Source organism: Homo sapiens, chromosome 10 (assembly GCF_000001405.40).
Source record: "Homo sapiens chromosome 10, GRCh38.p14 Primary Assembly".
NCBI classification, from domain to species: Eukaryota; Metazoa; Chordata; class Mammalia; order Primates; family Hominidae; genus Homo; species Homo sapiens.
Genome location: NC_000010.11, coordinates 106,549,233 through 106,565,823, shown reverse-complemented (window position 1 = coordinate 106,565,823; position 16,591 = coordinate 106,549,233). Strand labels below are relative to the sequence as shown.

The 16,591-nt window shown below is 40.8% G+C and overlaps 1 pseudogene; it reads right to left on the bottom strand.

Moving 5' to 3' along the window:
- On the bottom strand, positions 15,337-15,737 carry RPL23AP59 (ribosomal protein L23a pseudogene 59; annotated as a pseudogene).

Sequence of the window (16,591 nt, the reverse complement as noted above, 5' to 3'; positions counted from 1 at the left end):
TTTTGTTAACTGATGAGAGCCCACAGTATTATTGCAAACAGCAAAGAACTGGTTTGGGATGTCCTGATGAGTCATGAGGCATTTTGAAACTCAAGTGGGAAGGAATAAGAAAGCAAGGCAGGAGAGGACTGGTGGGGCAGAAGGACTGACCTATCGGAGAGACTGCTTGTTGAATTTCATGTAGCGTCTGATTTAATGGACTGTGCTGGGCCCAAGCCCACAGGCGAAACACATTACCTCAAGATTCCAATCAGTGATTATGTCAGCAATCTAGCTGGTGGTTGTAAGCCAGGTGGTCCCTGGGTATCCACAATAATCAATATCAGTCTGTTATGAATAAGGGACCTGGGATGGGAGGTAGGCAAAGGCTAACTCTGTAGGACAGAAGGTGGCAGAGACAAATCAGGGCATCTGGGTTCAAGGGGCCATTGTCAGGTATCTGGAGTCTCAGCAAAAAACTGAGGCAAAGGCCAGGTCCCCACATCTAAGCCATGCAGTGAAGACAAAGTAATAGCTGAGATTCACCAAAAATATGCGTTCAGAGCTAATCTCAGGCACACCAGACCCACATCTAAAAGCATCCTAACCTCCCAGATTGAACTGGTGACTCGTAACATACTTTAATCTTTGGTGGCACTGGTTCTGGGACACAGTGGATTCCAGTTCCTCCAAATTCTCTGGGGATTGATTAGTAATTTCAGAGCTTCTTTGACAGTCCCTCAAAACTGGCATGAAGAAGGGCCACCTACATAAAAGCAACCACCCGTTTGTTATCAGGTTCAAATGAATTTTTTATCTGCACTTTCTTTCCCTCCACATTTTCCACATTATCGTTTTTTCCTTTGTTATCAACACTGACTTGGTCCTAGTTCTGCATAGTTTTAGGGGACAACAAATAAAATAAGTGAACATGTAACCAACTTGCCTTGAACTCTTATGCAGATGAAACTTTTTGATGAACCCAGCAGGATTGTGTACTTTGTGTATATGCAGATGTGCTCTTTTTGGTAGAATGTGTGGTAGGAACAAAACAAAAGCGATGCCAGGATGGTTTATTAAGCATATTACAGCAGCCCACTCTGCATAATTTCAGAGGCATTACAAATGGGACTGCCATCTACTCCTGGGAAGCAGAGGCAGAAAGTAACTCAGCGTGAGTTCTAATTTTCAGAGCTCAGAGGATATCCATATTAAGAATCAAGTCAGCACTGCTTCGCTAGAATCATAGATGCACAGAATTCTAGGGCTCAAAGGGAAATTAGAAGTAATTCTCTAAGTATTTTTGAGTGCTGATTATGTGCTATGCATCATGCTAGACCATCGACTTGACCAACACCTCATATGATCAAGTTTCAACAATTTCTTCATGAACACATAAGTTAACAGCAAAGCAAAGACTCCTGCATCTTCTTTCCTAAGCCACATTGCTAGTCATGGTTCTTTTCTCCATGGTACCTTCCTCTATCCCCTTCTATGCAGAACACAGCCAAGATCCTTAGAATGAGTAGAAAAAAGTTCAAGAACTGTGAGAAAAATAACTTCCACAAAATCCATGGTTTGAAGCCATGAGATGTCTCTCAACCCATGAAAAATAAAGCATTTGAGGCCAGGCATGGCTGCTCATGCCTGTAATCCTAGCCTTTTGGGAGGCTGAGGAAGGCGGACTGCTTGAGCCCAGGAGTTCGAGACCAGCCTGGGCAACATGGTGAAACCCTGTCTCGGGGAAAAAGTTAGACAGGCGTGATGGTGCACACCTGTAGTCTGAGCTATTCAGGTGGCTGAGGTGGGAGGATCACCTGAGCCAGGGGAGGTCGAGGCTGTAGTGACCTGTGATTGCTCCACTGCACTCCAGCCTGGGTGACAAAGTGAGACCCTGTCTCAAAAATAAACAAATAAATAAATAATTGAAAAGGAAGAGAAAAAGAAAGCATTTGTTTATGAGTCTATTCACTCATCCAACAAACACAATCTGAATACTGAATCACAGGACAGTCTCTGAAGCGTATAACTTTAAAAGTAGCCATCTAGTCATCAGCTAGTAATAAAAAAATCTCTAACCCTCACTTGCATCTTTCAAGGAATATTGCTAGGGACGTGATTCATAACTCCAGCAACAATTCTCAAAAGCACCTTTTTCTACACCTCCCAGTTTTCCCCTCACAACTGCTTGGGAGTCTCAGTCAAACCTGTGCTCCTCCAGCTTTTTCTTTATCTTCCACTTCGGCCTGCACTCACCTTCCTGGGTTTTTTATTGTGTAAATCAGTTTAGATTGCTGCTTAAATCTACTCTCTGGTCTAGTCTCTACCCGTTCACCTGATTCTTCATTCCAAAAGGTTCCTTTTAAACAACTAGATGAAGGGAAGAGAGGAGAATGCTTACACTTTAATAAATCTTGTCTGAAAATTGTATGTATGAATATGTCACATAAGAATTAATTAAATTGTGTACAATTACATGTCAACTAAAAATAAAATTTTGAAAAAAGAATAATTAGAGGAAGTGGCATCAGGAAAATTTGGTAATATGTTAAGCACTAGAAACCAGAAATAAAGGAGTTAAATGTGAGATTTGGAGCCGGAAGTATAACAATTCTCTTTGAAAAGAAGGTGTTGGTAAACATAATGGTTTTGGATTTAAATACACTGCATAGAAGCAATAAGGACTGCTGATGACATTGGTGAGAGGTACCAGCAGATAGCATAAGGTAATCAAAATGTTGTAAGAGGTCTGTAAGGTGGCTCATGCCTGTAATCCCAGCACTTTGGGAGGTCAAGGCAGGTGGATCACTTGAGGTCAGGAGTTCGAGACCAGCCTGGCCAACATGGCAAAACCCTGTCTCTACTAAAAATACAAAAATTAGCCGGGCGTGGTGGCATGTGCATGTAGTTTCAGGTACTTGGGAGGCTCAGGCAGGATTCTTGAAGCAAGAATCTCTTGAATCTGGAAGGCAGAGCTTGCAGTGGGCCGAGATCGTGACACTGCCCTCCAGCCTGGATGACAGAGTAAAACTGTGTCTCAAATAAAATAAAATAAAATAAAGTTATAAGAGGCAGAGAAATGTATAAAATCCAAGACATCAAAGGCACTTTAATGAAGGAATAAAAAAGTCTTAAATATGTAAGCAGTCCTGGAAGGTGTCTCTATGAACAAAAGGTATATGGTCATAATGGTGGTTCTACTTCAGAAAGATCATTTGAATTATGTTGAGTCTTTTTTTTTTCTGGTGGGGGAGGTGTCATGAGTATAGTATATTTTCTAAAGATCCACTGACAATTATTAAAATGCTTTCTGGCATTTAAAGTGAAATGCTTCAGTTATTTTTAAATGAAAAAAAAGGGCTTATTTTTGTAAAACCCTTGACGGCCCAATGATGCCACATAAATAAACTAAATGGACTGTGACTCTTCTATATTTCAATTATTCTAAAGAAGCAGGACATTCTGTAGATGTGATTCCTAGACTGCCTTTTGGTAATAACTAGTCATTCTTATTTGTTCAGCTCAGGATTAACTCATTTCTCACCATGGCCAGCTGCTTAGAAATTGCTGTAGTAGGGCCAGTGAATGAAATTACAAAAGGAGATTTTTATCAATGTGCATGGAGTCTCTAATGGCAGAGCCTCAATTCGCAAGTTACTAATGGATTGTCCTGCACCAAAGGTCAGGGTACTGCTACCAATATGCCTTTTGGAGTTAGATCTGAATTAATGTTCTGGATCTTCCTCTTACGGATTGTTGTGGGCCAGCAAGGTTTTCTTTTCTTTCTTTTCTTTCCTGGCCCTTCCTCTTCTCTCTTTTTTTAAATTTTTTCTTTTTCTCCTTCAACTCAATTGTATAAAATGTAATATACAGCAACTTCAAATGGTTAACGTGTGGTTTAAAAATATAATCTACAGAAAATATTTAGTGAAGGGTCTGGTATGTACTAAGCAGTCAATAAATGCTGGTTAGGAACCGTGGCAGTAGTAAGCAATGCTAGTAGCAGTACAATAGTACAAATGTTTATACCTGGTTGGTTAAGTTAATAGATGATAAACATGGCATAAATGCAGTATTGCCATGTATTAGTTTGGGTTCTTTGGAGAAACAAGACCAATAGGATATATACATATAGAGAGAGATATATTTTAAATAATTGGTTCACATGATAATGGGGCCTTAGACTGAAATCCACAGGACAGGCTGGCAGGCTACAAATCCCAACAAGAGTTGATGTTGCAGTCTTGATTCCTAAGACACAATTCATTCCTCCTCCCGGGAGCATAGTCTTTTCTCTTAAGGTGTTTAACTGGGTGAGGTTTACCCACAATATGGAGGGTAATCTGCTTTACTCAAAGTCTACTGATTTCAATGATAATAAGATCTAAGAAAAAAAAATGCTGTCATGGCAACATCTAGACTGTGTTTGACCAAACAACTGGGCACTACTGCCCAGCCAAGCTGGCACACAAAATTACCCAGCACACGTCGTCAGTACCCCAGACTATACACTTTTTTCATATAGGAAAGCTGGTAGATTGTCATTGTCTAAGAAATGTCACACAATTATGTGACAGTCTTGAAGAAGAAAATATAACTTTTTTATCTTCCAGATTAAAAAATTGAATGGGGTTTGGCACCTCAGGAGGATGGAAGCATTTACAAGTCACTGCCTACTTTAAAGGCATATCAGATGGCTGACTCATGCCTAACTATTCTGTTCCCATGGGAGAGTCTAGCAAGAACAGGCCTCAATTTACTCACATGACTAAATTAAATGGACAGAGTGTAACAGGACTTGAGATGCCCCCATCGTAAACGCAAAAGCACCAGGCAGGAGAAATCAAAATTCTGCCTTTGCTAAAGCAGCTACTAGTGCCTAAGGACTGAGATAGAATTTTGTTTTTTTAGTAAAATTTAAAATGTTAACTGTTTTTGCATAAGCACACTTTCCTCAAAGTAAAAGCATGAAGAACAGCACTTAAACATATAACGGATAAAAGAAAAGAAAGAAAAGGATTAGAGATAAATTTCTCTAGCCAGGTGACGAATGAAATCGAGCACAATTTTTTAATATCAGGGAGGTTTCATATACATCCTGGTCAAGCAGAGCCAGAGTGGTGGACACCCTGACACAGTTCAGAAATAGCAGCTCTGGAAGAAGTGGGCCCAAAGTCAATAGAGAGATGGAGCAGAAAAGAGGACGGAGTCACGCTCCTGACCAACCAAAATAGTTGTTCCAGTGTCCTCATCTGCAGAAATACCAGATGACGCAAAACATATTCTTTGTTTCTGAGATGGAGTCTCACTCTGCCGCCAAGGCTGGAGAGCAGGGGCACGCGATCTCGGCTCACAGCATCATCCGCCTCCTGGGTTCAAGCGATTCTCCTGCCTCAGCCTCCTGAGTAGCTGGGATTACAGGTACGCACCACCACGCCCGGCTAATTTTTTGTATTTTTAGTAAAGACGGGGTTTCGCCATGTTGGCCAGCCTGGTCCCAAACTCCTGACCTCAAGTGATCCGCCCGCCTCAGCCCCCCAAAGTGCTGGGATTATAGGCGTGAGCCACCGCACCCAGCTGACCCAAAACATATTCTTCTCTTCATCTTTCATTCTAAGTCTCTATCCTTCTGCTGTACTTAAGAGAAGCATTCATGTCTGTATTTCCTTAAGGAAAAAGTTTTCAAATAATGATGAAGCTAAAAGCCTCTCTGATCATCATGAAAAACTTTACTACATTTCTTTTGGGAACAGGATTAAGATAGGAAAGAGCATATTAAACAGAGAATAGATCATCTTCCAGATTGGCTGAAACAGCAATGGCAATAGAGAGTATTTTGGGATATAAAGCTAAAGAGATGGGTTGGTGATAGATCATGGAAGGCCTTAACTAACAGACTGAAAAGATAGGTCTTTATCAAGAGACGAAAATTCAATTCCAAAGCCTTTAGAAGTTTTTAGCAGTGAAATGGTATGCTCAGAACTCTGCTTTTAAAGTTTACTTTGGAGCAGAGTGTAAGATGGATGGTGTATTAGTTATCTATCACTGCATAAGATATTGCCCCAGAATGTTGCAGCTTAAAAAAACAAACATTGTTACTTCTGCAGTTTCAAAGAGGTAGAAATCCAGAAGTGAGTAAGCTAGGTGATTCTGACTCAAGGGTTTATGAGGCTGTGGTCAAACTGTTGGCCAGTACTACAATCGTAGGAGGACTTGAGTGGGCCGGAGGATCCCCCAAGATAGCTCAATCTCATGGCTTTCACTGGAACATTTAGTTCCTCACCACATGGGCTTTTCTACAGGCTGCCTAAATGTCTTCATGCCATTTCATGACATAGCTTCCCCTAGAGCGTTCCAAGAGAAAGTGAATGAGGAGGAAGCCTCATGCTTTTAATGACCTAGTCCCTGAAGTTGCACCCTGTCACTTCTGCTCTATTCTATTATTAGAAATAGGTCACTGGCCAGGCGTGGTGGCTCACGCCTATAATCCCAGCACTTTGGGAGGCCAAGGTGGGCAGATCATAAGGTCAGGAGATTAAGACCATCTTGGCTAACACAGTGAAACCCCGTCTCTACTAAAAATACAGAAAATTAGCCAGGCATGGTGGAATGTGCTTGTAGTCCCAGCTACTCGGGAGGCTGAGGCAGAAGAATCGCTTGAACCCGGGAGGCGGAGGTTGCAGTGAGCCCAGTGAGTGAGACCCCGACTCCGTCTCAAGGGAAAAAAAAAAAAAAGAAGTGGGTCACTAAGTCCCGCCTACTCTCAAACATGGGCAGGGGCAGGAGTCAGAGGAAGGAACTGGGCTCCAACTCTTGAAGGGGGAGATAACAAAGAATTTAGGGACATGAATTATTAATAAGACCAATATAGATGGTTTATCATTGGAATGTCTTAGGGATTTTTACCTTACATCTGGTGCCTCCCATTCCAGAGGATATTTGGGGCAGGAAAACAAATCAGAAGTCTGGTGCAATGGTAAAGAGGCCAAACAAGGAGACCTCAGCTAAGGCAGTGTGTTGAAGAAGAGGAACGTCAGGAGAAACATTTATGAGGATAAATTATGAGGGTTATTTTTAGCAAGACTTTCAGTAAATTAGATGTTAAGAACTATTCAAAATTTTCTTATTTTTAAACTATCTGTCGTCATCAGATAGGGTATATGGGACTGGTCAGATGATGGCGTCGTTGGCAAGAATAAAGAAGTTAGAGGACATGTTGAGGAGACACAGAGAGATAATGTGTTTGCTTCTGCAAAGATTGACTTTGTAATATCAGTGGCCCTCCCATGTGCAAACATCTAGCAGGCTGTTGAAATACTAACCTGGAACTGAACCATGAAAAATAGGGGATGAGCAATAATATAAATAAGCAATAATATAAACTCGGCAAGGAATGGCTTGGCCAAAGGGGAAGGAAGGAAGACGGTTCAGTTTAGCCTCTTGAAAAATGGATACATTTGCAAGAAGGAGGAAAAAACCAGAATTTTTGAAAGGAATCAAGAAAAGAGTTCAGAATTGCACGGGACATGATAGCAGGAGGAAAGGGAAGATGAGGTCAGTTTGCAGTGCCGAATGTTGTGAGAGGTCAGGAAGGAGCTGGACTGTGTGGGGACAAGTGTGTTCAGAGATTGTGCTGTCTGTGGTATCTAGGAGAAGGTTATAAGCAGGATGGGAAGTGAAGAAAAACACATGGCATGGAGTTGAGCAGTGAGAGGAAAACCTCAGTAGTGTGCTGAGAAAGGTTTAACAGCTGGCTCTCCATGTGGGTGAGTGGGTGGAAACCCTGATGTGTACCATTTGCTGGATTCCAGTGTGTAAATATTTCTACCATGGCCAATTTCAAGCTACCCATGGTTAATAACTGCCTCACAAGTTCCAGAAAAACTTAGCCATCAGTTCTCACAAGCCGTTATGAGCTGGCTACAGTACATCACTGGAAGAATTGAAAGATAAATGCATATGTTCATCTTCTAAGCCTTATATTATATGTAAGGCATTCTTTTGAACTTAAAACAAATATGGGCCTGGTATAGTGGCTCACGCCAGCAATCCCAGCACTTTGGGAGGCCGAGGCAGGCAGATCACCTGAGGTCAGGAGTTTGAGACCAGCCTGGCCAACATGGTGAAACCTCATCTCTACTAAAGATACAAAAATTAGCCGGGCGTGGTGGTGGGAAACTGTAATCCCAGCTACTTGAGAGGCTGAGGCAGGAAAATTGCTTGAACCCAGGAGGCAGAGGTTGCAGTGAGCTGAGATCGTGCCACTGCACTCCAGCCTGAGCAACAGAGTGAGACTCCATCTCAAAACAACAACAACAAAAAATAAACGTTAACATACACTTATGCCCTATAAATGTGGAAAAGCATGATAGTGTCTCAGAAAGCTTTCCATAAGCCCCATAATTTTCAGAAGCCAGAGAAAATCTTTTTTTGTCTTACCCTCTTGCCTCCCCCATCAATGTTACAGGGACACCTGGGGTTCACATAGCCATCCAGAGTTCACATTTCCCTTCTTTTGTCTCTCCCTTCCTTTCTGTCACTTTTTCCTTGGGGATGACTTTACCTCACAGCAGCTACATTTTTCCATTATGAATCTTTTGCATTAAATGCTCACATTCTTCATGGATGAAGTATTGCAAAAACAAGCAAGCCTCTTACTTTCTAATACCCACTGTCTCTCAGAGTAGAATTTTGATATGTCATACTTAAAGCCTTCTTCCACACCAGGGATAAGAATAGTGGGGGACAAAAGGACAAATGAGGAAGTGGCCTAGGTCTTCCCACACTTAGAACATGTAAAATATTCACAGTGCAAAACTAGCTACTCACTATCTCCCACTGTTAGAACTTGTGTAATTTTCATCATCATTTAGATTTTGATCAATGGTATCCTTGTTTTTGAGCCATCAGACCCCATGAAGAAATCCTCACAAAGACAATCCAAAGACAAGGGCTCACTTTAACCTGCAAGTATTTCTGCCATGCCAGGGCTGAATATGCTTACCGGGGAGTTCTAAAGAAACTCAGTGCCAACATTTATTCATGATGTATGTTCTTCCAAGCCTAAAATTACCAGACTTGAAAGCTGTGTGATTTTAAAATGAATTGATCAAGACCATAACTGTTAATAAAATGCATGACTACAGTCTGTATATTAACTACGATCTCTGAGAAAATATACTTGGGAATCACAGAGCCGTATTTTGCACTTGGTCTTAGAATCCTCATTTTTAAAAATCCCACTGCTAATTAAATCCAACTGAATATTTCCTTTACCTGAAGATAGAGAAGTGCTTCTTGTTTGTCAAATCCCTTTCAGCCAAATAACCACTTAACTAATCTCAAATTGAATATCTTATTTAAGATTTTGAATTATCCTTTCTCTCCAGAGAGCTGCTGTTGAATATTGTAATAGCATTATCCAGAGAAATATTTCTTATCCTCTTGACTGAAGGAAAGGGGGAAAAAACCTGTTTCGTTATATCACTGAGTAGATTGAAATCTGGGAAAATGAACAAGCTGACATTTTTAAGCCAAAGACCATTAGTAGGAGGCAGAAGTGGCTTTCATCACTGCATACAAATCCTAGTCCTGAGCTCACCGAAAAGAAAAGAGAAGTTTGGTCTTTTGCTACCTAGACTAATTTGATGATTCCTGCTGAGAGTGACTGGGATGACAGCATATCATAGGGAAAAGAGAAACAGACCTGTCTCCTTCACTTACTACCTTTGTGATCTTCGATAATTTACTTAAATACTTTGAACTGCAGTTCAAATGGCATCTTAGACATTCCTGAAATAGTACCTGACTTTTTGCCATTAAGGCCTATTTTAATTGAAATTATATCAAAAAAACATATTGCAAAATTAACTCATTATTTCTCTGTTCATACCATGAAATGGCTCACCATTTCACTCTATTACAACCCTACATCCTTCATCTTTTCAGTGGCCTATGATCTGTCGCTCTGTTACAGCTCCAACCTCCATCCCTGTTCCTCTGTCCTGTGCTCTCACTGTGCCAGCCACACTAGCCTCCTGCCTGTCTTTTAGAGAAGTGCACTCTTACACCAGGCCCCTGCACTTCTTCCTGGAATGTTCTGATTTCCCACAGGGCTTGTCCTCTCACTTATATCTCAGTGAAGTTTTCTGAAATGGCAACACTTCAACACGGCTGCTAACACTTCTTACCCTTCTGTTAAAAGATAATTTATTAAAAAAATCTTCAGTCTCATATAAATATCTGTCACGGTTAATTTTATGTGTCAACTTGGAGAGTGTTTTGGAATGAGATTAACACTTAAATTCGTGAATTTCAGTAAGTAGGTTCTCTTCCAAAATGTGGGCAGCCCTCATTCAATCTGTTGGAGGCCTAAGTAGAATAAAAAGACTGGCCTCTCTGAGCAAGAGGGAATTATCCAGCAAACTACCTTCAGATAGGAACTGCACCTTTGGCTCTCCTGGGTCTCTGGCTGCTGGCCCACACTGCAGATTTTCAACTCTCCAGGCTTGATAGTTGTAGGAGCCAATCCCTTATAATAAACCTCCCTCCATATTTATACACATCTTATCAGTTCTGTTCCTTTGGAGAATTCTAACTAATACAACATCAAATTAACAAGTGTCAAATATTTTACTTAACTCACTAATTAATGAGTAAACCACTAAGATGTTAAGACAGATGACAATGAAAATTGAACTTCAGTTTCCTTGGGCCAGGCATATGGGCATAATTATTTCCTCTGTGTAGTTGTCTTAACAGGCTGCAATCAAAGTGTTGACCAGGGCTAGGTTATCACACAGAGGATCAACCAGAGAGGCATCTACTTCCAAGCTCAGATTGTCAGCAGAATTATCTTCCCACAGTTGTAGAACTGAGGACCTTGCTTCTTGTTGGCTGTCAGCTAGAGGCTGTCCTTAGCTCCAAAAGGCCACCTGAAATTCTTGTAGACCGATCCCCATTCCTTCCCATGTGAGTTTTAATTATATGGTCACTTACTTCATTAATCCTGCAAGGAGATCCTCCAGAGCAAGTCTGCTAGCAAGACGCAGATGTATATAACATGAAGTAATTATGGAAGTGACATCCCATCGCTTTGTTATATTCTGTTGGTGAGAGTAGAAGCAAGTCACAGATCCATGATTACTCAAGGGGAAGAAATTACACGAGGACACAAATACCAGAGTTGTGTACTATTGTGATATACCTTAGAGTCTGTCTGCCACACAGCCAAAGTCATTCAAAGACTCACACTCCTATGGAATCATATACTCCTTGGGGGGTCCACTAGATAAGACAGCCATTTGGAAGAATGCCAGTTTCTTAAAAAGCTCTACACAGTCTTGCGATGTGTTTGAAAAATCATACTGTTAGGTATTTCAATCGTGAGTTGAAAGCTGATGTCCTCACAAAAACCTGCACACAAATGTTTATAGTAGCTTATTTCACTGTCATCAAAAACTGATTGCAAGGGGTTCTGAAGAAACAGAGGAAGAGCTGAATAGAACAGTGGAACTATTCTGTGACACTATAACTGTGAATAAATAACATTATGCAATTTTCAAAACCCACAGAACTTTACTACACAAAAAATGAACCTTAATATGTGCAAATTAAAAAAAATCATTTAGAAGTTCTGGAGAATTCTAGGATGGAATGCAGAGTTTGAAGTTAATCAAATTTATTCTTAGGTAAATTACTGTCTTTCACTAAGGAGAAAGCATGTAAGGAAAGAGGGGAAAAGAAAATTGCTGCTTGTCTAGCAACTCATACCCTCTTCACATGCTAACACATTTGGTCACCACAACCATCCTCTCAGACAGTCCTTACTATATCCTCATTTTACAAACCAGGAGTTTGAGGCTCAAGGAAGCTACGTCACCCTCCCAAAGCTGTACCTCAATAATGAGCAAAGCCATAATTTTAACTAGAAGAATCTTATGTCCCTAAATTTTCCCTACCAATCAATGATTCTTATTTTAGGATATAAAATATTTTCTCCGAGATTTGGAAAGCTTTTTCTCCCCTTTAAAAAAAAAAAGTGGTCCACTTTTAAGTTTGAACACTACTGCCTATTCTATGGTCTCTCCTGGAAAAATCTTACATCCTTTCTCCAATTTTTAAATGGTTTCTTCCTGTTAAAACAAATGGGGGAGAAGTAGAGAAATGGAAATTTAGGCACTGGCTTTGAAAACAAGTAGGGAGACAGCAAAAACGAAAGTACAAGTTTGGGGGCAAATGGAAAGAGGCAGTGATGGTGATGGGATCAGTTCAGGAAAAGGCAGATTAGCTCCTTCTTAGTGGTTCCTTCTTAATGAGTTCCAGCAGCAAAGCTCCACTGCAATATATGATCAATGCCCAAGACTGAGCCAAGTAAGGTTCAGAGTGGCACAGGCTCTTTCCTAGTCTGTCGGCAGCCATGGAGCTGGCGCTTATGGAGTAACTATCTGGACTAAATGGGCTGTCCATTTTCTTACCAGTCCTGATAGTCACTCGTGTTAAAATGAAAAGGACATTCTCTAAACCCTAGTGAGTACCATTTTGCTACCTGATCAATGAGAAAAATGTATTCAGTTTCCACCAATAATGGTTTCTACAATTCCTTTAAGTAATCATCAGAGAAAAATAAACATGGCACCTGTGAGAAAAAAATGAAATGTTTTCATTTGTTGTTTTGTTTTGCTTGTTTGTTCTATTCATCTATCATTTGGAGGGATTTTCTTTCCCTATGAAGAAAAGTCTTTACTCATCCTTACATTTATCCACAATATAAATCTGGCGTTTGTTGAGAACCTACTCTGTGCACTGTTTTAAATATTTCATATGTATTTAATGACTTCACTCACAATAATGTGAAGTATTATTTCATCACAATAATGTGATGAAGTGAAGTCTGTTACGAATCAACTTTACATATAAGAAAACTAAGTCACAGGGAGGTGACATGCTTTACTCAAGTCACATAGCTAATGAGTGGTAATTCAAACTCCAGCAGCTTATAATTAAACACTCCTAATGAGCGTACTGAGATATAGAGATGTCTGAAGAGGCTGCTTTTGTTCTTGTGTATGTGTGTGTTTGAGAGTGGAGGGTTGGTTTTAATACAAAACAAAAACTTCATGCATTTTCTAAAAACACACACTGAGTTTCATGAAAAAGGAAACAAACAAACAAATAAACTACTGGATACACTCACTAGTATATACTCCACTTAGAACCTTGGAGTCCCAAATGCAGAAATAGTAGAGGATGGTTGAGGAAGAGAGGACTTAATCACCAATTATTTATTGAGCATCTATTATGTCCCAGGGATAGTACTATGTGTTATGATAAGTAACAAAGGAGATTGAGTCCTTCGAAGGGGCCTCAGGGAACTTACAGATCAGGTGAGAATATTAGATATAGACATAGTAAGAAGAGAAAATGTCTATAGAATCATTTAACTGGGTACAGTGTTATTTTCAGGCCTCTTCCTGCTGTAAATAATAGACTACCAATGCAAACTGACTTAGGCCTAAAGGGTTTTTATGAGCACACCTGCATCCAGGATTTTGCAAAGTATCGTCTGGAAAGTAACTCCACCCCTCGGTTCTGTTTCACTCTTTGTCTCTAGAATGGCTTCTAGAAACTTAGTTCTTTCAGCTTAGTAACTGCAGCAGAAGAAGGGTATCTTTCTCAGTAATTCCCTTCCTAAATGGGCTGTCCATTTTCCTACCTGTCCTGCTAGTCACTTGTGCTAAAATAGAAAGGACTTTCTCTAAACCCTAGTGATAAATAACACTAGTAAGCCTGGCTTGGATTATGTGCAGTTGCTAACCCATCTCTGTGACCAGCAGGAAGAAATTATCTGACAAGACCTAGGTTGTCTGTCTAGCTCAGTCTTAGGGTGGGTCAGCACCATCCCAACCACTTTGACTAGGACTTGTGATTCCCCCACATAAAAATCAGATGCTCTTACGAGATGAGGGAGAAATGTATGCCATATGGGCAGAAACCGCAGAATCCTCTCATGTGACTATAGAACCATGTATGTATGTGTGTATGTGTGTGTGTGTGTGTGTGTGTGTCTGTGGCCACACTTAGTGACTTTTAGACTTGTCACAGCAATATTAACCTCATAAGGTACAGCTCACTTTGTGGATAACACGGAAGCATTCCTTTGCCTGAATTTAATGTGCAGCTTCTTCTGAAGCCAGCTGGGTGACTTCCGGCTCAGGACATTAGCTTTTTAATTTACACTGGCTCTTGGTCAGCTTCCAAGTTCAAGTCAAGGTGTTGATTTTAATCTAATGTTCAAACTTCTAAAGCACTGGCTACTGTAGTTGCAATAGTACAACTTGCATTTTTGGTTCTGCAAACCTAGCTGCCTTAGTTTGATGGCTAAATTGTAGCCTCATTTCTAGAGCCCCTATCATGGTTACTATAACCCCCTCTTTTTATTCCCTCTGCCTCCCACTCTGAAAAAAAGATTTTATTTAAGACATATTCATTGATGGGAAAATCTAGCACTGGCATCAATAGAATTAAAACATCCACATGAGCTCTAGGAAAGACCGTCAATTTTGCTTACTGTTTCAACTGCCTGCCTGCCTGCCTGCCTGCCTTCCTTCCTTCCTTCCTTCCTTCCTTCCTTCCTTCCTCTCTCTCTCTTTTCTTTTCTTTTCTTTTGTTTTCTTTTCTTGTGAAAAGCTATATATATTTAGAATTAGCCATCCACACTCAATTTAGATGACTCCAATTTGGTGACAACATCCAAAGCATTGTAATCAGGAGCCAGTTGAACATATATGCCTTCTCTTCATCAGGACTGTGATGGTTAATATTGAGTTTCAATTTGACTGGATTGAAGGATGCAAACTATTGTTCCTGGGTGTGTCTGGGAGAGTGTTGCCAAAGGAGACTAACATTTGAATCAGTGGACTGAGGGAGGCAGACCCACCCTCAACCTAGGTGGGCACCATCTAATCAGCTGCCAGCATGGCTAGAATAAAGCAGGCAGACAAACGTGGAAGGACTTGACTTGCTGAGTCTTCCAGGCTTCATCTTTCTCCTTTGCGGGATACTTTCTGCCACTGAACATTAGACTCCAAGTTCTTCAGCTTTTGGACTCTTGGACTTACACCAGTGATTTGCCAGGGGCTCTTGGGCCTTCGGCCACCTACTGAAGGCTGCACTGTTGGCTTCCCTACTTTTGAGGTTTTGGGACTTGGACTGGCTTCCTTGTTCCTCAGCTTGCAGACGGCCTATTATGGGACCATCACCTTGTGATCGTGTGAGTCAATACTCCCTAATAAAGTTCCTCCCATTTATACATCTATCCTATTAGTTCTGTCCTTCTAGAGAACCCTGACTAATACAAGACCTAATCAGGGTGTTGACCTTGGCCACATCAGTGTCATAGAGCTTCTTCACAGCCTGTTTGAACTGGTGCTTGTTGGCTTTAACATCCACAATGAACACAAGTGTGTTGTTGTCTTCTATCTTCTTCGTGGTAGACTTAGTGGTCAGTGGAAACTTGGTGATAGCACAGTGGTCAAGCTTGTTTTTCCTGGGGGCAGTCTTTTGAAGACACTTGGGGGGCTTCGGGAGTCATAGTGTCTTGGGCCGCCGGAAGGTGGGTGACTTGCAGATCTTTTTTTTTCTTGTGGCTGTGGACATCTTTTAGCACTGCCTTCTTGGCCTTCAAAGCCTTCACTTTGGCTTTGGCTTTAGGAGGGGCAGGAGCTTCCTTCTTTGCCTTCAGCACCACCTTGTAAAAAAAAGGTCAAATGCCCTTACTACATGTATCCACTGTATTTTTTTTATTGTGGTAGGAAGTACACAACATAAGATTTACCATCTTAGCCATTTTTAAGTATACAGTACTGTAGCATTAACCAAATGCACGTCATTGTGCAACAGATCATTACTAGATCATATGGTAATTCTATTTTTACTTTTCTCAGCAGTCTCCATACTCTTTTCCATAGTGGCTGAACACATCTGCATTGTATTCCCACAAACAGTGCACAAGTCTTACAATTTCTCCACATGTTTGTGAACACTTCTTATTTTCTGTTGTTGTTATTGTTGTTTGTTTGCTGAGACAAGGTTTTGCTCTGCCACCCAGCCTGGAGTGCTGCAGTGTAATCACTGCTCACTGCAGTCTTCACCTCCTGGGCTCAGGTGATCCTCTTGCCTTAGCCTCCTGAGTAGACAGGATCACAGGTATGAATCACCATGCCAGGCTAAATTTTGTAGAGATGGGATTTCGCCATGTTGCCCAGGCTGGTATCAAATGCCTGAGCTCAGATAATCCTCCTTGCCTCAGCCTCCCAAAGTGCTGAGATTACAAATGTGAGCCACCATGACCGGCAGTTTGTGGGGGGTTTTTTTTGTTTGTTTGTTTTTATAGTGGTCATCCTGAGAAGCGTGAAGTGATAATTCACTGTAGTTTTCATTTGCATTTCCCTAATGATTAGTCATGTTGAGCATGCCTCAGTCAATAGCAAATCATCCTTCACCATTATAAGATGGCAAAGCAGAAATTAAAACAAAAAGAGTACTCAAGGAAATAAGAATAACTTAGCATAGATAAGAGATTTTTGAAAGAATATAAAATAGAAGAGAAACT